At 40.5% G+C, this 25,415-nt stretch overlaps 1 protein-coding gene across 33 annotated transcripts in view; it reads left to right on the forward strand.

The window, feature by feature from the left end:
* The window catches only part of TENM2 (teneurin transmembrane protein 2), a 1,285,129-nt gene that overhangs the window by 974,782 nt on the left and 284,932 nt on the right, over positions 1–25,415 (forward strand). The window lies entirely within an intron of this gene.

Consider the following 25,415-nt stretch of genomic DNA (forward strand, 5'->3'; position numbering starts at 1 on the left):
TCTCTTCACACAGCTGGAAGCAATTTTGAAAGTAGCATTTGGAGTTGTTTCTTACCTATAATTTTTTTGTTTTTTTATAAGATCCTGAAAATTAATATGTTATACATCTTTGTCACTATAATCACTCCAAACTTTTAATTTTATTTTCTGACAATTATAGGATTTTTAAAGAATTTTTGCTTTATTAAGAGAAACTAAAAGAATGAACCTAAGCTAATAAATATCCTTGATCTCAACATTAGTTTAAAAGAATTGGTACAGAAATAAATAAAATGACACAAAATGAAGCACTAAGCCAAATACAAAGGGTGCTGCATTATTATTATTTTCCTCTGCAAAAAATACCTAACGTGTGTGCACACACACACTCACTCACACACACACACACACAAACAAACACACACACAGGCTCTCACACAAAGAATGGTTACATAACAAAGTAAACGTTATAACAACCACATCTGTTTGACTCTTAATCCAAACTAACACGAAAAATCTGTCAAGACAATTGGGGTAATTTAAACACGGATTGGGTATTTAATGATATTAAGAATATAATTATAATTTTATTAGGTGCAGTTTTGGCATGCATGTTTGGTTCAAACATTAAAAACATTCCAATTGAGGAATGAAAAGCTACGTATCGGGTATTATGCTTTTTTAAAATTTATTATAGTTTAAGTTCTGGGATACATGTGCAGAACGTGCAGGTTCGTTACATAGGTATAAACATGCCATGGTGGTTTCCTGCACCCATCAACTGGTCATCTATATTAGGTATTTCTCCTAATGCTATCCCTCCCCTAGGCCCCTGCCCCCTCACAGGCCCCAGTGTGTGATGTTCCCCTCCCTGTGTCCATGTGTTCTTATTGTTCAGCTCCCACTTATGAGTGAGAACATGTGGTGTTTGGTTTTCTGTTCCTGTGTTAGTTTGCTGAGGATGATGGTTTCCCGCTTCATTCATGTCCCTGCAAAGGACATGAACTCATCCTTTTGTTATGGCTGCATAGTATTCCATGGTGTATATGTGCCACATTTTCTTTATCCAGTCTATCATGGATGGGCATTTGGGTTGGTTCCAAGTCTCTGCTATTGTGAATAGTGCTGCAATAAACATATGTGTGCATGTGTCTTTATAGTAGAATGATTTATAATCCTTTGGGTTCATACCCAGTAATGGGATTGCTGGGTCAAATGGTATTTCTGGTTCTAGATCCTTGAGGAATCACCACACTGTCTTTCACAATGGTTGAATCAATTTACACTCCCACCAACAGTGTAAAAGCATTCCTATTTCTCCACATCCTCTCCAGCATCTGTTGTTTCCTGACTTTCAATGATCGCCATTGTAACTGGCATGAGATGTTATCTCATTGTGGTTTTGATTTGCATTTCTCTAATGATCAGTGATAATGAGCTTTTTTTCATATGGTTGTTGCCCACATGAATGTCTTCTTTTGAGAAGTGTCTGTTCATATCCTTCACCCAATTTTTGATGGGGTTGTTTGTTTTTTTCTTGTAAATTTGTTTAAGTTCCTTGTGGATTCTAGATATTAGCCCTTTGTCAGATGGATAGATGGCAAAAATTTTCTCCCATTCTATAGATTGCCTGTTCTCTCTGATTATAGTTTATTTTGCTGTGGGGAAGCTCTTTAGTTTAATTAGATTCCATTTGTCAATTTTGGCTTTCTTTGCCATTGCTTTTTGTGTTTTTGTCATGAAGTCTTTGCCCATGCCTATGTCCTGAATGGTATTGCCTAGGTTTTCTTCTGGGGTTTTTATGGTTTTAGGTTTTGTGTTTAAGTCTTTAATCCATCTTGAGTTAATTTTTGTATAAGGCATAAGGAAGTGTTCCAGTTTCAGTTTTCTGAATATAGCTAGCCAGTTTTTCCAACACCATTTATTAAATAGGGAATCCTTTCCCCATTGCTTGTTTCCATCGGGTTTGTCAAAGATCAGATGGTTGTAGATGTATGGTGTTATTTCTGGGGCCTCTGTTCTGTTCCATTGGTCTATATATCTGTTTTGGTACCAGTACCATGCTGTTTTGGTAAATGTAACCTTGTAGTATAGTTTGAAGTCAGGTAGCGTGATGACTCCTGTTTTGTTCTTTTTGCTTAGGCTATATCACTTGGCCGTATGGGCTCTTTTTTGGTTCCATATTAAATTTTAAGTAGTTTTTTCTAATTCTGTGAAGAAAGTCAATGGTAGCTTGATGGGGATAGCATTGAATCTATGAATTACTTTGGGCAGTGTGGCTATTTTCACTATATTGATTCTTCCTATCCATGAGCATGGAATGTTTTTCCATTTGTTTGTGTCCTCTCATTTCGTTGAGCAGTGGTTTGTAGTCCTCCTTGAAGAGGTCCTTCACATCCCTTGTAAGTTGGATTCCTAGGTATTTTATTCTCTTTGTAGCAATTGTGAATGGGAGTTCACTCATGATTTGGCTCTCTGTTTGTCTGTTATTGGTGTATAAAAATGCTTGTGATTTTTGCATATTGACTTTGTATCCTGAGACTTTGCTTGAAGTTGCTTATCACCTTAAGGAGATTTTTGGGCAGAGATGATGGAGTTTTCTAAATATACAATCATATCATCTGCAAACAGAAACAATTTGACCTCCTGTCTTCCTATTTGAATACCCTTTATTTCTTTCTCTTGCCTGATTTCCCTCGCCAGAACTTCGAGTACTATGTTGAATAGGAGTGGTGAGAGAGGGCATCCTTGTCTTGTGCCGGTTTTCAAAGGGAATGCTTCCAGCTTTTGGCCATTCAGTGTGATATTGGCTGTGGGTCTGTCATAAATAACTCTTATTATTTTGAGATATGTTTCATCAATACCTAGTTTATTGAGAGTTTTTAGCATGAAGGGGTGTTAAATTTTATTGAAGGCCTTTTCTGCATCTATTGAGATAATCATGTGGTTTTTGTCATTGGTTCTGTTTATGTGATTAATTACATTTATTGATTTGCGTATGTTGAACCAGCCTTGCATCCCAGGGATGAAACCGACTTGATCATGGTGGAGAAGCTTTTTGATGTGCTGCTGGCTTCAGTTTGCCAGTATTTTATTGAGGATTTTCGCATCGATGTTCAGCAGGGATATTGGCCTGAACTTTTCTTTTTTTGTTGTGTCTTTGCCAGGTTTTGCTATCAGGATGATGCTGGCCTCATAAAATGAGTTAGGGAGGAGTCCCTCTTTTTCAATTGTTTGGAATAGTTTCAGAAGGAATGGTACCAGCTCCTTTTTGTACCTCTGGTAGGATTCAACTCTGATTCCATCTGGTTCTGGGCTTTTTTTTTTGTTGGTAGGCTATTAATTACTGCCTCAATTTCAGAAATTATTATTGGTCTATTCAGGGATTCGACTTCTTCCTGGTTTAGTCTTGAGAGGGTGTATGTGTCCAGCAATTTATCCATTTCTTCTAGATTTTCTGGTTTATTTGCATAGAGATGTTTATAGTATTCTCTGATGGTAGTTTGTATTTCTGTGGGATCAGTGGTGATATCCCCTTTATGATTTTTTGTTGTGTCTATTTGATTCTTCTCTCTTTTCTTCTTTATTAGTCTGGCCGGCAGTCTATCTATTTTGTTAATCTTCTCAAAACACAGCTCCTGGATTCATTAATTTTTTGAAGGGTTTTTCATGTCTCTATCTCCTTCAGTTCTGCTCTGATCTTCGTTATTTCTTGTCTTCTGTTAGCTTTTGATTTTGTTTGCTCTTGCTTCTCTAGTTCTTTGAATTGTGATGTTAGGGTGTCGATTTTAGATTGTTCCTGCTTTCTCCTATGGGCATTTAGTGCTATAAATTTCCCTCTAAACACTGCTTTAGCTGTGTCCCAGAGATTCTGGTACATTGTGTCTTTGTTCTCATTGGTTTCAAAGAACTTATTTATTTCTGCCTTAATTTTGTTATTTACCCAGTAGTCATTCAGGAGCAGATTGTTCAGTTTCCATGTAGTTGTGCAGATTTGAGTGAGTTTCTTAATCCTGAGTTCTAATTTGATTGCACTGTGGTCTGAGAGACTGTTTGTTATGATTTCCATTCTTTTGCATTTGCTGGGGAGTGTTTTACTTCCAATTATGTGGTCAATTTTAGAATAAGTGTGATGTGGTACTGAGAAGAATGTATATTCTGTTGATTTGGGGTGGAGAGTTCTGCAGATGTCTATTAGGTCCACTTGGTCCAGAGCTGAGTTCAAGTCCTGAATATCCTTCTTAATTTTCTGATTGTTGATCTGTCTAATATTGACAGTGAGGTGTTAAAGTCACCCATTATTATTGCGTGGGAGTCTAAGTTGCTTTGTAGATCTCTAAGAACTTGCTTTATGAATCTGGGTGCTCCTGTATTGGGTGCATATATATTTAGGATAGTTAGCTCTTCTTGTTGCTTTGATCCCTTTACCATTATGTAATGGCCTTCTTTGTCTTTTTTGATCTTTGTTGGTTTAAAGTCTGTGTTATCAGAGACTAGGATTGCAACCTTTGCTTTTTTGTTTTTTGCTTTCCATTTGCTTGGTAGACATTCCTCCATCCCTTTATTTTGAGCCTATATCTGTCTTTGCATGTGAGATAGGTCTCCTGAATACAGCACACTGATGGGTCTTGACTCTTTATCCAATTTGCCAGTCTGTGTCTTTTAATTGGGGCATCTAGCCTCTTTACATTTAGGGTTAATATTGTTATGTATGAATTCGATCCTGTCATTATGATGCTAGCTGGTTATTTTGCCCGTTGGTTGATGTAGTTTCTTCATGGTGTTGATGGTCTTTACAATTTGGTATGTTTTTGCTGTGGCTGGTACCAGTTTTTCCTTTCCATGTTTAGTGCCTCCTTCAGGAGCTCTTGTAAGGCAGGCCTGGTGGTGACAAAAATCTCTCAGCATTTGCTTGTATGTAAAGGATTTTATTTCTCCTTTGCTTATGAAGCTTAGTTTGACTGGATATGAAATTCTGGGTTGAAAATTCTTTTCTTTAAGAATGTTGAATATTGGCGCCCACTCTCTTCTGGCTTGTAGCGTGTCTGCAGAGAGATCCACTGTTAGTCTGATGAGCTTCCTTTTGTGGGTAACTTGACCTTTCTCTCTGGCTGCCCTTAACATTTTTTCCTTCATTTCAACCTTGGTGAATCTGACGATTATGTGTCTTGGGGTTGCTCTTCTCAAGGAGTATCTTTTTGGTGTTTTCTGTATTTCCTGAACTTGAATGTTGGCCTGTCTTGCTAGGTTGGGGAAGTTCTCCTGGATAATATCCTGAAGAGTGTTTTCCAATTTGGTTCCATTCTGTCCATCACTTTCAGGTACACCAATCAAATGCAGGTTTGGCCCTTTCACATAGTCCCATATTTCTTGGAGGCTTAGTTCATTCCTTTTCATTCTTTTTTTTTTTTTTTTCTTTTTTTGAGATGGAGTCTCGCTCTGTCGCCCAGGCTGGAGTGCAGTGGCGCGATCTCGGCTCACTGCAAGCTCCGCCTCCCAGGTTCACGCCATTCTCCTGACTCAGCCTCCCCAGCAGCTGGGACTACAGGCGCACACCACCACACCCAGCTAATTTTTTTGTATTGTTAGTAGAGACGGGGTTTCACTGTGTTAGCCAGGATGGTCTTGATCTTGTGTTCATGCTTTATTTCATTAAGTTGATCTTCAATCCCTGAAATCCTTTCTTCCACTTAATCTATTTGGCTATTGATACTTGTGTATGCTTCACGAAGTTCTTGTGCTGTGTTTTTCAGCTCCCTCAGGTCACTTATGTTCTTCTCTAAACTGGTTATTCTAGTTAGCAATTCCTCTAGCCTTTTTTCAAGGTTGTTAGCTTCCTTGCATTGGGTCAGAACATGCTCCTTTAGCTTGGAGGAGTTTGTTATTTCCCACCTTCTGAAACCTACTTTTGTCAATTCATCAAACTCATTCTTCATTGAGTTTTGTTCCCTTGCTGGTGAGGACTTGTGATCCTTTGGATGAGAAGAGGTGTTCTGGTTTTTGGAATTTTCAGCCTTTTTGCGCTATTTTTTCCTCATCTGTGTGGATTTATCTACCTTTGGTCTTTGATGTTGGTGACCTTCAGATGGGTTTTCTGAGTGGACGTCCTTTTTGTTGATGGTGATGCTATTCCTTTCTGTTTGTTAGTTTCCAGTCAGGCCCCTCAGCTGCAGGTCTGCTGAAGTTTGCTGGAGGTCCACTCCACACCCTATTTGCCTGGGTATCACCAGCGGAGGCTGCAGACAGCAAAGACTGCTGCCTGTTCCTTCCTCTGGAAGCTTCGCCCAGAGGGCTACCCACCAGATGCCAGCTGGAGCTCTCCTGTATGAGGTGTCTGTCAACCCATGCTGGTAGGTGTCTCCCAGTCAGGAGGCACGGGGGTTAGGGACCTACTTGAGGAGGCAGTCTTTCCCTTAGCAGAGCTCAAGCACTGTGCTGGGAGATCCGCTGCTCTCTTCAGAGCCGGCAGGGTGGGAATGTTTAAGTCTGCTGAAGCTGTGCCCACAGCCGCCCCTTCCCCCAGGTGCTCTGTCCCAGGGAGACGGGAGTTTTATCTATAAGCCTCTGACTGGGTCTGCTGCCTTTCTTTCAAAGGTACCCTGCCCAGAAAGGAGGAATCTAGAGAGGCAGTCTGGCTACAGCAGGTTTGCTGAGCTGTGGTGGGCTCTGCCCAGTCTGAACTTCCCAGTGGCTTTGTTTACACTGTGAGGGGAAAACTACTTACTCAAGCCTCAGTAATAGTGGACCCCCCCTCCCTCCCACCAAGCTGGAGCATCCCAGGTCAACTTCAGACTGCTGTGCTGGCAGCAAGAATTTCAAGCCAGTGGATCTTAGCTTGCTGGGCTCCATGGGTTGGGATCTGCTGAGCTAAACCACTTGGCTCCCTTGCTTCAGCCCCCTTTCCAGGGGAGTGAACGGTTCTGTCTTACTAGCGTTCCAGTCACCTCTGTGGTATTAATAAAAAAACTCCTGCAGCTAACTCAGTGTCTGCCCAAACGGCCACCCAGTTTTGTGCTTGAAACCCAGGGCCCTGGTGGTGTAGGCACCCAAGGGAATCTCCTGGTCTGTGGGTTGTTAAGACAGTGGGAAAAGCACAGTATCTGGGCCGGAATGCACCATTCCTCACAGCACAGTCCCTCACAGCTTCCCTTGGCTAGAGGAGGGAGTTCCCTGACCCCTTGTGCTTCCTGGGTGAGGCGACGCCCCGCCCTGCTTCAGCTTGCCCTCTGTGGGCTGTACCCACTGTCTAACCAGTCCTAGTGAGATGAGCCTAGTACTTCAGTTAGAAATGCAGAAATCACCTGGCTTCTGTGTTGATCTCACTGGGAGCTGCAGACCGGAGCTGTTCCTATTCGGCCATCTTGCCAGCCAGCAGAATTATAGGTTATTTTTAACCATGTCTACAATCTTAATCTTTAAAGGTTAAAATATGTAAAGTCAATAAAAACTGTATATAATAGAGATATTTAAACTTCTGCCCTGATATGGTAAACCATTAATAAACAGCTTTGCTGGAAGCTGACTGGCTGGCCAGGCTTAACTCAGGATATTGTCAAAGTTGATGGTGGTCTTAAAGGCTGGATGGTATTTTCTGTCTTTTTCCTCTCCACACTTACAAACTGCCATAGAGTTTGTTAATTAGTCAGCCTATTTTTACGTTAACAGACTATTATTTGAAAAATAGTTTCTGGATATAAATGCTACTTAGAATGGACTAGATGAAGAAGAAGAAAGGAAGGAAAGAAAGGGAAGAGGAGATGTAATAGCTATTGTAGAAAAAGAAGAGGACCACCATGACCATTATCAATCAGTTGTTATTGTTTAGTTTATATATGCTGAACATTAATGCTTTACGTGCATTATCTCACTCAAGCCTGAAAACAATCCTATGAAGTAGGAAGGGACTTTTATTATGGCCATTTAAAGATGCAGAATCTAGGGATAGAGGGACAAAGTAACCTGCAGGAAGTCTAAAGCTTCAGAAAGATAGTAAACTATGAGCCATGTTGGATGAAACACTGGAAGTTCCTACACCCAAAATAAGGTGGTGGAATGTCTGATGGGTGAACAACCACAAATCTAGGTTTATTGCCCTAGTTGTTACATTTACAGGACCAGATCCACCAGAGTGTCTGCTCTTGGCAATGAGTCTTCCCTTAGTGATAAGAACACACGAAACACATAAACATATCTCCCAGCTCCCAGCTCCTGATGCAATCAGTTGGTTTTCTAGATTTATTTTGAATAACTTTTTGTAATAAAGTGTCCTCTTGACAAATATCTGGTAGAGAGGACCAATGAAACCACGCAGATCACTGTCCTGCTTTCCTAAAGTAAGCTCTTCCAGAATTTACTTTCTGGTCTAGAGTCCTTCTTCAGATCCTTTGAATATTTGGCTTTTCTCCAAGGATTAGGACTTCTCAATGCTAATTTTGGAAGAAGCACATTAAAGAAAAAAATTGGTGGGAAGATAGGAGTGCCAAAACCTTGACATCCATCAAAAGGAAAAAAAAAAAAATGAGACAACATCTGAGTATTCTTTGATCCATATGTTCAAGAGCCAAGGATTAGAGCTCCTTGGGATGGAGTTGTTGGCAGAAATCCAGCACAAGGTGCAAAACTTGGTAAATATTTGAAACTCCACTCATGGAACTGAGCACATAGAATATGCATCTAGTCTCATGTATGAAAATTCTAGTCATAGTCCATAGAACTGATGAAATGTATGATTCTGTTTTAAATATTATTTGTATTAGTTTGTTCTCACACTGCTAATAAAGACATACCCGAGACCCAGTAATTTATAGAGGAAACAGATTTAATTGACTGACAGTTCAGCATGACGGGGGAGGCCTCCAGAAACTTATAATCATGGTAGAAAGGGAAGCAAACACACTCTTCTTCAACATGGCAGCATCAACTGCTGAGCAAAAGGGGTGAAAACCCCTTATAAAACCATCAGATCTCATGAGAACTCACTCACTATCACGACAACAGTATGAGGGTAACCGCCCCCATGATTAAGATACCTCCCACTGGGTCCCTCCCATGACACATGGGAATTATGGGAACTACAATTCAAGATGAGATTTGGGTAGGGACACAACCAAACCGCATTGTTATTAGTTCAGTCTCTTATTAGCAAATATTTATTGAGTCCCTTGTGTATGCCAAGAGCTATGTTAGGTACTGGCAAGATACTGATTAAAACATGTATTGTCCCATTAAAGATCGTCCAACCTAAAGGAGGAGGCAGGTACATAAGCAAAAAGATAGTTCAACATATACAGTAATGGAAGTCTAAAAGTTACAGAGATTTTATAGTGGAAGAAGCGATTTACTATCCGAGAAAGATCAAGAAAATTTTTATAGCTGAAGGGCTGCTTCAGCTGGGTTTTGAGGGATGAATAGGAATTTATCTATTACATAAGTAAAGTCAGATATGATAGCATATTATTATTTGTTCTCATTCACCACTGTTTTTCCATATAGTCTTAGCAATAGATAATTGAATGAATTCCCTGATTCAAATGCTAAAATATTGTGAGTTTATTGGTGTCAATTTCTTAGCCATGAGAGAGTATAGATATGGGATTTCTTCTTTTTAGGAGCATGATGCCATGCTAGTATTTCCATTTCTGTCTTTCATACCAAATAAGAATTGGTCTCTCTCCAGGAGAGAGAACCATTAAAAGCAAGACATTCTGAAGGTTGATTATAATTTAGTCACCATTTTTGAAAATGTGGTGTAAATTTACAAACAGCTTGACCACCCTTACTCTCATTAATACAGATTTCTGGGTTTGATGGAATAATTTCAAAACTCTGAGAGGTAATGAGCAGGCATTCTGCCACTCCCAGAATGCAAAGCGTGTCTCTTTAGTCCAGTGTGTCTCCTTAGACCAGTGGGGAGTGGGTCCTTTCCTCTCTGCATTGCTCTCTTGATGTCCCCATCAGTCTTAATGAAGCATGTTAGATCTTCTCTGAACTATGCTGCTTTTTTTTTTCTATGATGAGTACATTGGAGGGGCTGATTAAGGAGGCATAACCAGAAAATAGGACTGTTTGGAATTTAACAAAAGACAAACAAGCATATAAGGGAAGTTCTGCATCAATGTAAAATAAAAGAACAATGCATATAAATTTGTACTACCAAAAGCAGTCTATTCATGTATAAACCATAATATAATCCAACGAAAATCAAACATAAGGCAGAACTAACTGCAAGCAGTCTGTACTGTCTTTTCTTAAGTAGTGTGTTACAGAATCCCTCTACCCTCCACCTTCCTCCCAGCCTATTCACAGAAGGTTTTGAAACAAAGTCTACTTGCAATTCTTGTTCAATATCACCTATCTACTCCTTCCTCTGCTGAAAGTGACAAGGTGAGAAATCTTCCCGGTCGGCTGCTTCTTTGGGAGTTTCTAAAGTCAACTTCTCTTGTCTAAAACAGTAGAAAGTAGCTCAGTGACAGAACCTAACTTTTCTTCCTTTGTGTGTTTTGCTGAAGCAAGCGTCTCTCTTTGGATCTGTCTGAGCAGTAGATCACAAAAAAGAGTCCCTAAGCAGGACAAAACTTCTCTCTGAGTTCACTTTTGCCCTGACATACTAGAAGCCCTAATTTTAATCATCAAGATCCTCAAGCTGCAAAACGGTTTGCAATTTGCCTTTTTAAATGGTCATTCATTAATTATTCTAGAAATAGCTATGAGAACCTACCATGTGTCAGGCACTGAGGATCCGGCAAAGGAGAAAAACAAAACCTCTGTCCTTATGGAGATTCTAGGCTGGAAGCAGACAGAACATAAACAAATGTCCCTTACACCATGACAAATGCAGTAAGTGCCACAGACGGCTGAAGAAGCCAGACCCATAAGAAATGGACATTTAAGCTGAGCCCTTAAGGATGAGTAGGGGTTAATCAGGCTTAAAGAGTGCTCTAGATCACAAAAACAATGAGCCACTAGGGGCAGAAACACTAAGGTGCCAGAAAGAGAAAGCAAGAGAAAGCAAACTAGAAAGGTAGGCAAGGGCAAGATGGATCAAGGCTTTGGACCATGTTAAAGCTTTTGGACTCTACCTCGAGAACAATTAAAAGTCACTGAAGCTTTTTAAGCAGGAGAGCAAAATAATAAGATACACTCTGCTTTTTGCTTTTAATAATGATAGCTGCCCTATGATAAATGGATTGGGGGGCAGTTAGAGTGGAAAGTATGCAAGACTAAAGGTCCAGTTTGGAAAATAAAATAATAGTTAAGATAAAAAGTGGCATGCCTTTGATTAGGGAGTGGTGCTGAATATTCAAAGATGTGAGGTATAGTTTGAAGGTAGGATCAGTAGAAATTAATGATTGCTGGGATTTGAAGATGAAGGTTAGGATTCTTCAAGTTTTTGACTTAGATGTCTGGGTGAATAGCAATGTCATGTGCTGAAGAAGGAACAGGTTTTTGTGGCAGAAAACAAAAGTTCAGTTTTGGACATGTTACATTTATGAGGCAAGAGAATTGAGTGCAGTTATTGGCCAGACTTATTTTGATTCTAAAATAATATGTATAACACAGAAAATCATCCATTTACAGATAATAGCATATGTAGTATATCCAAAGCCCTCAGCAATTGATTTTTCTCTTTAAAAAATGTCTCTCCAGGCCAGATGCAGTGGTTCATACCTATAATCCCAGTAATCTGGGAGGTTGAGATGGAAGAATCTCTTGAGCCCAGGATGTGGAGGCTGCAGTAAGCTATGATCACACCCCTGCGCTCCATCCTGGGTGATAGCGTGAGATTCCATCTTAAAAAAAAAGAAAAAAAATTCTCTCCAGAAATTTGTTAAATTTATTTCACACAATCATATAGGCCTGTGAATACTAACTTTTCTTTGTCAAATACTTTTTGCTTGGCACTAAGCTTTACCTACAGGATCCCATTTAATCCCTTAAGCTCTTTGTTAGGTATATGTTACTATCCATATTTAAAATACAGGGAAACCAGGGCTGGGGGAATTAAGTTATTTACATGTCACCCATTAGTAAGTGACAGAGCTGAAATTTGAACCTGGGTTGACCTGACTTTAAATCCCATATTCTTAATGACCATATGATAATGCCTGGGGAACTAGGAAGGGCGGGGGCTGGAAAAAACTCTGTCTAGCCTGATGGCAAACAACAAATTAATTTGCTTAGGCCATGAAATGAAGTCAATGCATTACAAGTGGCATAAGGCGAGAAATGATCTATGGGATGAACTCCAGCCTGTTACTGGACATAGACTTAGTCATTGTCAAACTCATAAGCCAGGCCAGATGCAAGAGACCCTTCTCTGAAGCTCTGAGGAATTGGTGGCAACCCGGATGGTAAATCTGAGGCCTCACCACTCCATGGTGGTGGCAGCATAGCATATGATTTACGGGGAGAGGTTTTATGCCCTGCATATTATAAAATATGAGTGCAGATTGACAAGGGAGAATTAAGAAGCACAGCTACTTGTTTAGCTCTGCAACTCGTAGGATCTTTTTCATTCTAAACAGAGCTCTGCCAGATTGCTGGGAGAAAGCGCAACAGCCATGGGTGCCATGGCTGACCCTTGGGGCATCCCTTGAATATCATCCTTGTTCCTGTTAGCAGGAAGCATGACAAGTGCTCAGAAAAAGAATTGAGCATGTTGGGCTTGCTGAGTGGTATCTAAGGAATCTAATTTTGGTGTCAGAATTTTTAAAAACACACTTTTTGTCTTCAAGAAGAAGCAATCTTAGACTAATCTGGATGCCTTATTGGTAGTGCGTATTTGGAAATCGAGATTCAAGACCTTCAGTAAATGAGGCTTTCACAGAGAAGAAACAAGATTGTTGAAACATCTTCACCATGCTGAGTGCAAAGACTATTCCAAACTTGTTCTCAGATTGATTTTTCTACCTAAGGATTAATTTTCTGACAGAATCACTGACAAGCCTGATCTTTAGAATATTAAACCTAGGCAACCTGTTTGCTTTTTTGTTTGTTTTTTAATGTTTTCAAGTGAGGTTTAAAGGTAGGATTCATTCTGGGTGAACCAAATGCATCGAAGCACTTTCAAATCAATAGGCAGCTTGATTTCTCTGTATTGCAAAACATTATGCCCCCTCTAAATTCTCATCACAGGCAACATGGAAATTAATGAGACCTTTAGATTAGCCTTTCAAGCTCAGCCTTATTTTATAGCTTTACCTTGCCTTTTTGACACCACGATCTCGCCTGGCCACCAGCAGCATTTCATGTTGCAGTGCACTTTAATTTTGCAGTTTTCTTAGTCTTCCTTGGAAACTGGCAGCTTATTAATCTCAATAACTGAGCTGCTCAATAGGCAAGCTCACCAATGAGAGACCAGGCTGTGTCTTTTTTTTTTCTTGGCAGATGGAAACAAGGGGGTTGGTTGTTGGATGGAGGCAAGGGAGGTGGCAGAGAAAAAGCTGGTTAGGAGGGGCACCTCATCCCCCACATCACTTTCTGATAATTGGCAGGAAAATAAAGCAAGCCTAGTCTAATCCACTGCTCTGTAATTTATGGCTTGTGGTGTTAAACACACTCGAACCCATTAATAAGAAAATAAATAAAGTGTTGTGGCACGTGTGCAAATTACAAGGTGCATTAAGAAAGAAACAAGCATTACATCTTATTCAAGACCACTCCAGCCTATTCTTGGCATGGTCTGCAAACTTGGAAGCATCCTGGAAAGTGGAGGTACCTAAGGAGAAGCTGTCCTTTTTAAATTTGCCTGCCTCTACAAAATTAAAAACTTATTGAGGAATTGAACTTCTTATTGCAGGGTACCACAGCTAAGTCTCTAGGTAGAAAGAACTTAAAAAAAAGAAAAATAAAAATCCATCCCTCAGCAGCCTTTACCGTGGGGACCCAATTACAAATTGAGACCACCCTGTGGTCATGCATTGTAAGAGCAAGACTTTGCCCTGAGTCTGTGTAAATGTCGAAGACTCTGGGGTTAAGTTCACAGTTGAAAAAAGCCAAATATTTCCATCTCTGTCTGTGCTCTTTCACCCATTCAACTAATATCAACTGTCATTCCCTTGAGGCACTTCCTGAAGTCTTCCCAGAGGATATTTTATCTGGCTCAGACAGGGAGAAACTTGATGAAGCGCAAGTCCTTTCTAATTCTGGCTCCCTGATGATCCTTTTCTTTTCGCAGAAGCCAGATAAGGCATCCGCAGTCCTACCAGGCAGGGGAAGTAGGTCCTGCAACTTTTCTGAAGGCACCTTTGATTTATTAGTCTTGGCCTTATTTGCTTTTGTGAGTTGGAATCTTATGTCCCCAGACTTGCAAACCGTCACGAGATACTCAGCCATTCTGCTCAGCTGCAGCTGCATCCTTTAGATTTTATGGGAATGTTTAAAAAAACTTTTCCTACATTAGGTTTTTTTCTTTCAAAACCCACCAGACAATTTGGGGCCATTCTGTGAGTATTCTTTGCAAATACTCCTTTGAGAGGTCATGGCAAAGCGCTGCACAAAGGATCACCCTCAAAATCGTGTATTTTTCAAATCCCTTATTGAATCATTTCTTGCTCAAAATAACTGTTTAGGAGTGAGGAAATACCTCCAATTGCTGTCATTTGTACTTAAGCTGTGTATGCCTTATAGTTCAAAAGAGACTGAATACCAATTCTTTTCTATGTGTTAAATGGTACTGAAATCAGATTTCAATTTGCTAGAGCTTCAATTGCGAACCAGCATTCATGAGTCCATTTCTCAACAATTAATACTCCTGTAAAGGTATTGCACACCAATAATACGACCTTTAAATTTTTATTTTATTTTTTAATTATTTGAACAAAGGGTTAAAATCCCGCCCTAAAGGGAAGGTGGGAAATGTTGCTTTACTTAACACTGGTATGTTCTTAGATAAGAATTTTCGATGATCTTAGTGACTTTCTTATTTCTTATCAACGCAGATCCTCTCCACTATACTTGGGGACATGTAATGAGAAGGCACAGGGAGCTATTAGGCCCACTGAAGCATTTGGTGGGACTCTAAGGAGCTCTACTCTCCCCCATCCCCACTCTCACCAATTCAGGAAAATGAAGGAATAAATTTACAAGCCCCCTGTGCAAGGGGCGGTGCTATGCACATGTGCATTTTCTGGATGTTCTTGTACTCAGTCATCTTTTCCAGCTTCTAACTCTCAGAATCCATACAAGGAGACATTGTAGTTCTATTGACAATCTTTTCACTTCTTGGAAACCACGGACCACTCCTTTTGGTCTTTGTTTTTAGACATAATCATCTCTGAAATGCCGACTTTGTGCCCAGTAGGATACTAGGCACTTTACATCATGTTATCTGAATTAAAGCCCTTAGGGGAGAGATGTTGATAGGGTTTGGCTGTGTTGACACCCAAATCTCATCTTGAATTGTAGCTCCAACAATTCCCACGTGTTGTGGTAGGGACCTGCTGGTGGGAGTTAATTTAATCATGGGGGCGGGTCTTTCCCATGCTCTTCTCGTGGTAGTGAATAAGTCTCATGAGATCTGATGGTTTTATAAGGGGGAGTTTCCCTACACAAGCACTCTCTTTGCCTGCTGTCATCCATGTGAGACGTGACTTGCTCCTCCTTGCCTTCTGCCATGACTGTGAGGCCTCCTCAGCCATGTGGAACTGTAAGTCCATTAAACCTCTTTCTCTTTATAAATTACCCAGTCTCGGGTATGTCTTTATTAGCAGCGTAAGAACAGACCAATACAGATGTTCTTGTCCCCTTTCAACATATCAGGAAAATGAAACTTGAGAAAGTGGAGGATTTGGGACAGAGAGAAGATCCTGACAGAACAGGATTCAAGTAATACTTAAACTCAGGCTTTGGGAGTCTCTCAGCCTTGCACTTCTTTACTTTCTACCATCGCTGTTATGTAGGCCTCCTCTTGTGGGATTTTTATGGTAACTATATGCTATATTCTCAAAGCTTAGAAACCTAACAGAAAGTAAAGCACTTCTTGACATTTCAACAACACTCCCTTGATTGAGTCTCATGGAATCCAACTAGAGTCACATGCCCACAACTGACCCAAGCCTCAAGCCTGGAGTCTTGGCGAGCAGACCACATTAATTGGCCAGGCCTGGATCACGTGCCCATGTGGGGGCCTCATAGTGGAGAGGAAGGAGTGTGGCCCATAACCAAACATCGTGCTATTAGGAGACCCTGAAATGGAGGGCTGGCAGGCAAAAGCCACAGACCAACTCAGGCCACATTCAATGTTAATTTGGTCACAGCCCAGCTCATATTGCCTGATTGTAATGATTTTCTCCTCCAGGCAGACACAGTCCCGGCCAGGGTGGGGAAATTGCAGGACATTGAGTTATCTCACTTGCCAGAGCACAGAAGGGGGTTTACAGCTGATTCCAATAAGAAGTCGAAAAAATTAAGTTTCACTGACTAACTTCTGCCCCCTTCTGACTCATCACCCTCTCTGGTTGACTTCTCAAACGTCCCACGACTTTACTTTTGAGTTCACTGTGGCCACTTAATGCATTTTAACTTTTATTAGTCTCCTGACATCTCTTTTAAGCTATCATCTTCTTTCCTGCAAAAGTGCTTGGATTCCACATTTTCTAATTAAAACATGCTCATTTATTGTCTTACTAACCAGTGCTCTTTATGAGGGCTCATGATGAGAAAGTTAACTCAAAACATCTCGATGCATTTCCTCTCTCTTGGAAATGGCTGGAGAAGCAGTTTTGCCTTATCAAGTTGAATGACTTCGAAGAACTTTTGGTTTTGCTTTTTAATAAAACCATGAATGGGAAACATTTAACTCCATGCTTCAAGCTCCTAATATTCTCAGCAATGCAGTATATTCTGTTTGTTGTGGTGTGTGTAGGTGAGACAGATTGCAGGGGTCAGATAGCTCCATAATGAGTATAGGTAATATCAGAATAGTTCTGTGTTTAATTAGATAAAAATTTTTGTCCTAACATGCAACACGTCCTAATGTTCATAATGGTGCCCATTGCTGTTTATACTCCAGTGAATTAATCTGATATTATTAGAGGTTGTAAGCTTCAGTGCAGCAGGGGGTAAGGGTGGCACACATGCATTTAAACCCACCGAGAATTTCAATATAATCGTGTGTGTGGTGGCACTGGGGTGGGCTGGGAACAAGGTAGAAGGCGCATATTCAGTATATGTCTGCGTATACTTTGTTTTTTCAGTTTCACTACTATTTGCTTTGTCTTTGGAAACATAAAAGCAGTGTTACAATGGGGACATCCTCATGTCCTGTCGATAATGTGCATCTTCAAATTCATAATACCATTCAGTTTGGGGAAAAGAGCGAAGTATAGCATTCTTCACAGAGCTTACCCCAAATAGCTAATTCAGGCAGAAAGGGAGAGACAGAGATAGAGATAGAGATGATAGAGATAGAGACAGAGATAGAGATAAAGAGAGAGAGATGGAGATAGAGATAAAGGGAGGCAGAGAGAGAGAGAGAAAGAAAGGGGAAAAAGGGACCTGGTGATGCAGATATGGAAAAAAATAGATGCCCTCTTCAGGGAGGTCGGCCCTTGATTCTGACCACTACATTAGAAAATATTAGAAGGAGTCAAGGTCAACATGAATTGGGTTGGCCAAAACAACTGAGCCCAGCTGGACGCGGTGCCTCACACCTGTAATCCCAGAACTTTGGGAGGCCGAGGCAGGTGGATCACTTGAGGTCAGGAGTTCAAGACCAGCCTGACGAACATGGTGAAACTTCGTGTCTATTAAAAATACTAAAATTAGCCAGGCGTGGTGGTGCACGCCTATAATCCCAGCTACTTGGGAGGCTGAGGCAGGAGAATTGCTTGAACCTGGGAGGCGAAGGTTGCAGTGAGCCAAGATCGCGCCACTGCACTCCAGCCTGGGTGACAGAGTGAGACTCCATCTAAAACAAACAAACAAACAAAACAAAACAAAACAAAACAAAAACAAAAAAAACCCTGAGCCCTGATCATTTAAGTGAAGGGGTCATCATTTGGCTGCACAGAGGCAGAGTTTTCAAACTGGAAACCAAGTTAAGATCACCTAGTATAGTCCAATGTCTATTTTTACAGACAAGGAGAGTGAAGCTCAGAAAGTTCCACAACACGCCAGCGCCTTCCACTATAAATGCCGGAGTGGGGCTGGAAGGCAGGCCTCTGGCCAGAGCTTTCCCCAGCACCCCTCACTATTTCCTGCATGATTAGGGAATGTTGGTGCCTACTTATCCCACACAGAATATTTATCTCCATTTCCTTCTGCAAAGGAAAGGTCATGAATTTAAGGCAAAGAATTAGAGCACATATTGCAACAGCTTTTGTCTTTTCAGTTATTTTATTGTAGAATGTACACATTCTCTTGGTAAAATATTCAACACATAGACAGAAAATGGAAAGGAATATTCCCTGCTTTTCAATTTCCATTTTCAAGGAAATTTCATTTGAAGGTTGATTATTTTAGGCTTTCAAAAATGCTTGTGGATGTCTGAGCATGTATATTTTAAGTTTAATATAAATGGAATCATATACATATCATTTGGCAACTTCCTTTTTATCACTTAATCAGATATTGTGGAAGCATTTTCAGGTAATTTTATGTAGACTTACCTCATTCTTGTTTAAAGTCCGTGTAATATTCCATAATGCTCTAATTTATTTAACCAGTCTCTTCTTGATGGACATTTAGATCGCTTTCAGAATTTTGCTATTAAAAACAAATCTGTAATGAAACATCTTGTGTATATATCTTTCTTTGCATACTTATATAATTATATTCAAAAGTTAAATTCCTGGAAGTGAAATTACTAGATCAAAGGGTATGTATAATGTGCATTTTGAATTTTGATCGATTGTGCCAAATTGTATCTGTCTCCATTCAAATGTTACGATCTCTCTTTACTTCTCCTTATTTGATGGCCTGAGTTTCTTTTGTGGCTTTAAAATAAGAGCCCAGAAGTTTATGGTGTTAGATTTCAGACATAGAATTAAGAGGATTTTTTTTCAAGTAATAATGTAATAAATAATACATAAATACCCTAGAAATGCCAATACCTCTTCTTAATGCCAGATATAGTATGAGAAACAGACATAGCTGCAGGGGAAAATCTGACTCTCTCACTCCCCTTGGTTCTAGCTGTAGGGCCCTTTCTCTTCATTCCCAGACTGTGCTACAGCATGGCCTACGTGATTCAAAACTCCTAACCTTTGTTGCCTTTCCTTTCTCATTATTATTTGGCAATGTTTGAGTTTGCCTCTTCTCCTCATCCACCTTGCCTCTATCTACCTAATGGGGATATTATAAGAATGTCTAAAAAGACCTAGTCAAGTTTCTGAATCCCAAGAGAAATGCCTAGTAAGGCGGTATGATTGTTTAACTATTACAGAAAAGCATTATGATCAAGGGCTTGAAAATCTGGCGAGGAAGACAGCCTTTTTTGTGAAATAAGTATGTGAGGGCTCTGTCAGTAAGAGGCCCTCAGGCCAAACTTATATAGTTACTTTATCTGAAACTCTGATTTTATGCTAACTAAGGATTTTTGTATTTCCCACCTCCTGTTGGTAATCCCATTACCAGCTGTGTTCATAGGACTTCAGCTTAATTCAGCCAACATTTGTAGGGGCCCAACACGCAGCTGAGCACCATGGCACAGAGAGTGAAAGATCGAAAAGACATGGCCCCTGACCTCTGGGAATCACAGTCTAGTGGGAGAAAGGTCACAGAGCAGATTATTTATATTGATATAGGATGTTGTAAGCTGGACATGAGCTCAGGGGACTCTACGGAAGCATGGAGCGTGGAGTGCATCCAACCTACCTGGTCAGGGAAGCCTGGCTGGCAGATACGGGGTCTGAGTTCCATCTGGGTGGAACAGTGAGAGCTGCCCCAGCAAAAGGGCATTCCAGGCAAAGGTGAGAGAATAGGAAAAGGCCGGAAGAGCAAGGCTGTGCCAGCATTCTGGACCAACCAGAGTGAGACTCAGGAGGCAGGGTAGAGAGGTCTCATGGCCCAAGTCAAGGTCACCTTCTGGGTGCAGTCAAGCACTCTAAGGTCTATTCAGTGTGGGATGGGGAGCCCAAAAGGGATGTACACAAAGGCATGTTACGGTTAGATTTGCCATGAAGAGGTGGAAAGGGAGGATACACCAGAAAGGGAGGAAACTAAAAGTACATTGAAGTTAACCAGTGCCTCTGATGGAAGAAGGAAGGGAGAAAGGGAGGGAGGGAGGGAGGGAGGAAGGAAGGAAGGAGAAGGAAGGAAGGGAGGAAAGGAGGGAGGGAGGGAGGAAGGAAGGAAGGAAGGGAAGGAAGGAAGGGAGGAAAGGAGGGAGGAAGGAAGGAAGGAAGGAAGGAAGGGAAGGAAGGAAGGGAGGAAAGGAGGGAGGGAGGGAGGAAGGAAGGAAGGAAGGGAGAAAGGGAGGGAGGGAGGGAGGGAGGGAGGAAGGAAGGAAGGAAGGGAAGGAAGGAAGGGAGGAAAGGAGGGAGGAAGGAAGGAAGGAAGGAAGGAAGGGAAGGAAGGAAGGGAGGAAAGGAGGGAGGAAGGAAGGAAGGAAGGAAGGAAGGGAAGGAAGGAAGGGAGGAAAGGAGGGAGAAGGAAAGAAGGAAGGAGGGAGGAAGGAAGGAAGGAAAAAGGGAGGGAGGGGTGGAGGAAGGAGGGAAGAAAGAAGGAAGGAAAGGGGAACTAGAAGGAAAGAGATACATACTTAAAGTAGGCAGTCTATGGGATTCATTGATAATTATCTGCATAACAGTAATAGCCAACATTTATTGAGGATCCACTCAATGTCAGGTGTGTGCTGAGCCACTCATTTAATAGACACAATATTCCTAAGAAATACTTTCCATCATTTTCACTATTTTCATATGAGGAAACGAAGATGTAATAATAACAAGTCATTTGCCTTAGGCTGCACAGGTTAAAGGTGAGGCAACCAGGCTCTGACCCCACCTGCTGCCGACAGTTTCCTTATTAACCATCGCCCCATCCAGCCTCCTAGAATCAGCAGGGCTGTCCCAACCTGACCGACTGTGACCCTGAACTTCCCTCTTCTTCCTTGCTTCTCCTCTCTATCACTTCTCTTCCCCCTCCTTCCTCACTTCCCTCCACAGAAATGCAGACATTGCTTTGTTTTTCACATAACCACTTAATTTCTTGTCAAGCAAAACTTGAGAGCCAGAAAGGATCCCAGTTCAAGTCCAAGCCTTCAAGATGTCTGGAAAGGCAGCCTCCCCACTACCAGACTTGCCTTTAGGTTTTGTTTAATTCTGCCACTTGCAAAGCAAATGCCTGAAGGCGGGCACCTGCCTTTTAGTCTAACATGCCACCTCCCTGTCAGGCAAATTTCAATTTACCATGCCTCGGCTTGTCCAACTGTATCTGCATCAATACTTCCAAGATGGCAGTGACAAGCTTTTCAGGTACTTAAGGCAAACCTGCATGACAGTTTTCCTTGACACTTGCATTTTTAAAAAGCCTTGCCTGGGGCCCTAGGAAACCCAGCATTTAAGAAACTAGGAAGCTTTCAAGGAAGCCCAGCTTTCAGAACCTGCTGCCCTGGGACTTGTTTTGTGATAGGGATGCTGCAGGGTCTGCCTTAGAGTATATTAAGTGCCATGGCGATATTTATGTGTTGATGCTAAATGATGGTTACCTTTCTTAGTGGCATTTTTTTTTTTTTGACGACTGAAATATATAGATCTGTTTTGTGCATTGTCAGTGGGTATGTGTCTGGCCTACAAACACACTTAAATGGCACACTTCTGCACAACATTCCTGAGTGTCCAACAGATATATGTAGGCAGGCAGACATGTCACAGGGGTTGCCATAAAGCTTAGTTAATATCCCTGAAGAGCTCTTGTGTCATTTCATGAAGAGTTCTAAATAAGAAGAAAATATTGTACCTATGGCTATTACACAAACAAAGAAATGTGAGTAAATATGCAGATAGGGTTTCTTCTGTTTGCTCATGCCTCAAAGAGTCTGATGTAAATTCAAATGGGAAAATAGATAGTAATAGAGATCACTACTGTTTATTTGAGGGTTAAAAAAAAAAAAAGCAACAGTGCCCCAAACTTAAATGCTTGAAATTGCTATACACAGTTGATGTGAGAGGAGCAAATCTATAATAAGCAAAAAGGAGTGGCAGCTTTCTTTTTCTTTTGTTTTCTTTCACCTCTGCCAGCCCCTACATTTAGAATTGTTTTGATGACTTAAGAATTGTCAGTAGCTATACAAGAATTCGGATAAATCAATTTTGTTTTCCTTCCTCGGCCTTGAAGAAATCACATATGATACTTAGTCTGTCCCCTTTAATTTTTACACCATTTATATACCTTCCTCTTTCTCTTCTTTCCTTCCTTCCTTCATCCATCTACCCAGCAAATGCATCTTGAGCACCTATGAAAATAACCATTATGGGTTTTTTGGTTGGTTGGTTGTTTTTTCACTTCTTTCTGGGCCTTAGGATACTGATCTAGAAACAGAGAGAAATGAATTAGAACTTCATTTCTCAAATGAGAGATGCTGTGGAATACCAGTTTTACGGCTGAGAAGAAGGGTATATATATATAAAGCTCACAAAAATAAGTGGAATAATAAATAGTGTAGAGTACTGGGATATTTATGATATTTAAGTATTAGGTTTGTGAAGACCTGCAGTAATGTTTACTCCATTTCCCAAATATCATGGAACCCTCTCTGTATCTAACATTAGTAATATACAAATATACTTGGTGATCCAAAAAGCACATTTTAAGATGTTGTATTTCAGATCCTCTCTGATCTTATGACAGAAGTAGAAAGGCCAGAATTTTTTCAATCCCTTACTAGGAAGGACTTTGTGATCTTGCCTTCTAAAATAAAATAGAATTTTTCTCTTAGCATAAACTTTTAAAATGAATTTATACCCAAACTCAATTATCAAGTCAGGCAATATTTGGGCTTGGTACATAAGTACTGTTTATAATACAGTGCTTAGAGTGTAGGCTAACAATAAAAACTTTTGTTTAAAAATTTCATGGATATCATTGGGTATATACCCAAATGAATATAAATTATTCTACTGTAAAGATGCGTGCATGTGTATGTTCATTGCAGCACTATTCACAATAGTGAAGATATGGAATCAACTAAATGCCCATCAATGGTAGACTAGATAAAGAAGATGTGGTACATATACACCATGGAATACTATGCAGCCATAAAAAATGAGATCATGTCTTTTGTGGGAACATGGATGGAGCTAGAGACCATTATCCTTAGCAAACTAACACAGGAACAGAAAACCAAATACCACATGTTTTTAATTATAAGTGGGAGCTAAATGATGAGATGAGAACACATGGACACAAAAAGGGAAGCAACAGACACTGGGTCCTACTTGAGGGTGGAGGGTGGGAGAAGAGAGAGGATCAGAAGAAAAAATTCCTATTGGGTACAATGCTTAGAACCTGGGTGACAAAATAACCTGTACACCAAACCCCCATGACACGAGTTTATCTATATAACAAACCTACACATGTACCCCTCAACCTTAAATAAAAGTTTAAAGGAAAAAAGAAAAGTATGTCTATCACATATTAAAATAAGACGAGTGATTATATAAAAAATTGAAGAACTTAAACTGATGCATGAGTTCTTCTAAATACTTTATATAATACATCAAATAAAATAGAAAAAAATGTCATGGATCGATAGCTTTCCTAGAATATAAACCCCACTAGGCTCTCCCTGAAAGCTCTTTCCTGAAATGAGAGCCTGCTGACTTGGGGATGTTAAGACATTTTCTAAGGTATGAAATATTTTGGCTCTTTCTACTACTGCTGCCACCTGGCTCCTTGGTGATGCTTCTTGTTTTGTAATTCATTAACAGTTTTCAAAAACAAGCTCAGGATATGGATAGGATGCAGAGAGACTGGCAAAATGCTTACTGTCAACCAGAATTTGAGCTTCCTGAAGAGTTCAATGTTGATTATCATTTTCTACATTTAGAAAACATTTAGAGGTTTCTCAAAAAGTTAACCATTTTATGACCATATTATGTAGTTGGGATGTTTGTCCTCTCCATGTCCCATGTTGGAATGTGATCCCCAATGTTGGAGGCGGGCCCTGGTGGGAGGTGTTTGGGTCATGGGGGTGGATCTCTCATGATCAACTTGGTGCCTTCCTCCCGGTAATGAATAAGTTTTTGCTCTATTAGTTCCTGCAAGATCTGATCATTTCAAAAGAGCCTGGTACCTCCTGCTCTCTTTCTACCTCTCTTGCCATGTGATGCCAGCTCCCCTTCCCCTCTGCCATGATTGGAAGCTTCCTGAGGTCCTTACCAGAAGCATATGCTGATGCATTGCTTCTTTTACAGCCTGCAGAATCAGGAGCCAAATAAACACCTTTTCTTTGTAAATTACCCAGTCTCAGGGTCTCCTTAATAGCAACACAAAGTGTACTGAGGCACCTCTATGATGCAGCAATTCCTCTCCTAGGGAGATCCCCCAAAGCTTTCAAAGCAGGTGCTCAGACAGACATTTTCACACCAGTGTTTGTAGCAGTACTATTTACAATAGTCAAAAGGTGGAAACAACCCAAACGTTCATCAATGGATGAATGAATAAAGAAAAAGTGTACACACACACTCACACAAAAGGAAATAGTATTCCAAAAGGGAATGAAGTGCTGATACATGCTACAATGGGGATGAACTTGAAAACATTATGCTAAGTGAAAAGAAGCCAGACACAAAAGGTCACATATTGTATGAGTCCATTTATCTGACATATCCAGAATAGGCAAATTCATAGAGACAGAAACCAAATTAGTGGTTGCCAGGAGCTGGGAGTGAGAGAGTGAAGGAATGGCGAGTTACTGTTTAATAGATTTTGGGGGGAATTTGAGGTTTTTTGGGGGGTGATGAAAATGTTTTGGAACTTAAATAGAGGCAGAATTTAAACATCGTGAATGCTCTAAATGCCACTGAATTGTGCAATTAGAAATGGTTAATTTTGTATCATGTGAATTTTACCTCAACTTTTATAAATAAATTAATTAATTAGAGAAAATAGCCGGAGGATCAGCGTGTCACCCTCTGTATAAAACGTCTACTCAAGGGAGAGACAACAAGATAGTTAGGCTAGAGAACCAGTCTCTTGCTCCAGTCTTCTCCTAGAAAGGTGCCAGGAAAAAAAATGTCTGTTCTCAAAACATTCCTTGAAAGGGTTAAAGTCACAACACAAAATACCCAGTACATGTGATTTGATTAATAGTGGTAAATGGATCTGAGTGTGTAATATGTTGACATCTGAAAGACTGTCAACAGGATCCCCATTCAACATCAGGGTAAATGCAACTCTTCAGACAGATGTCTTGAAGCACCAAAGATAAGGAAATAAAGAAAGGTGCACCAGGCAGGACTCCTTTGTTACACAGGTAGGGGGAAAAGAGAATG

Source organism: Homo sapiens, chromosome 5 (assembly GCF_000001405.40).
Source record: "Homo sapiens chromosome 5, GRCh38.p14 Primary Assembly".
Taxonomy (NCBI): Eukaryota; Metazoa; Chordata; class Mammalia; order Primates; family Hominidae; genus Homo; species Homo sapiens.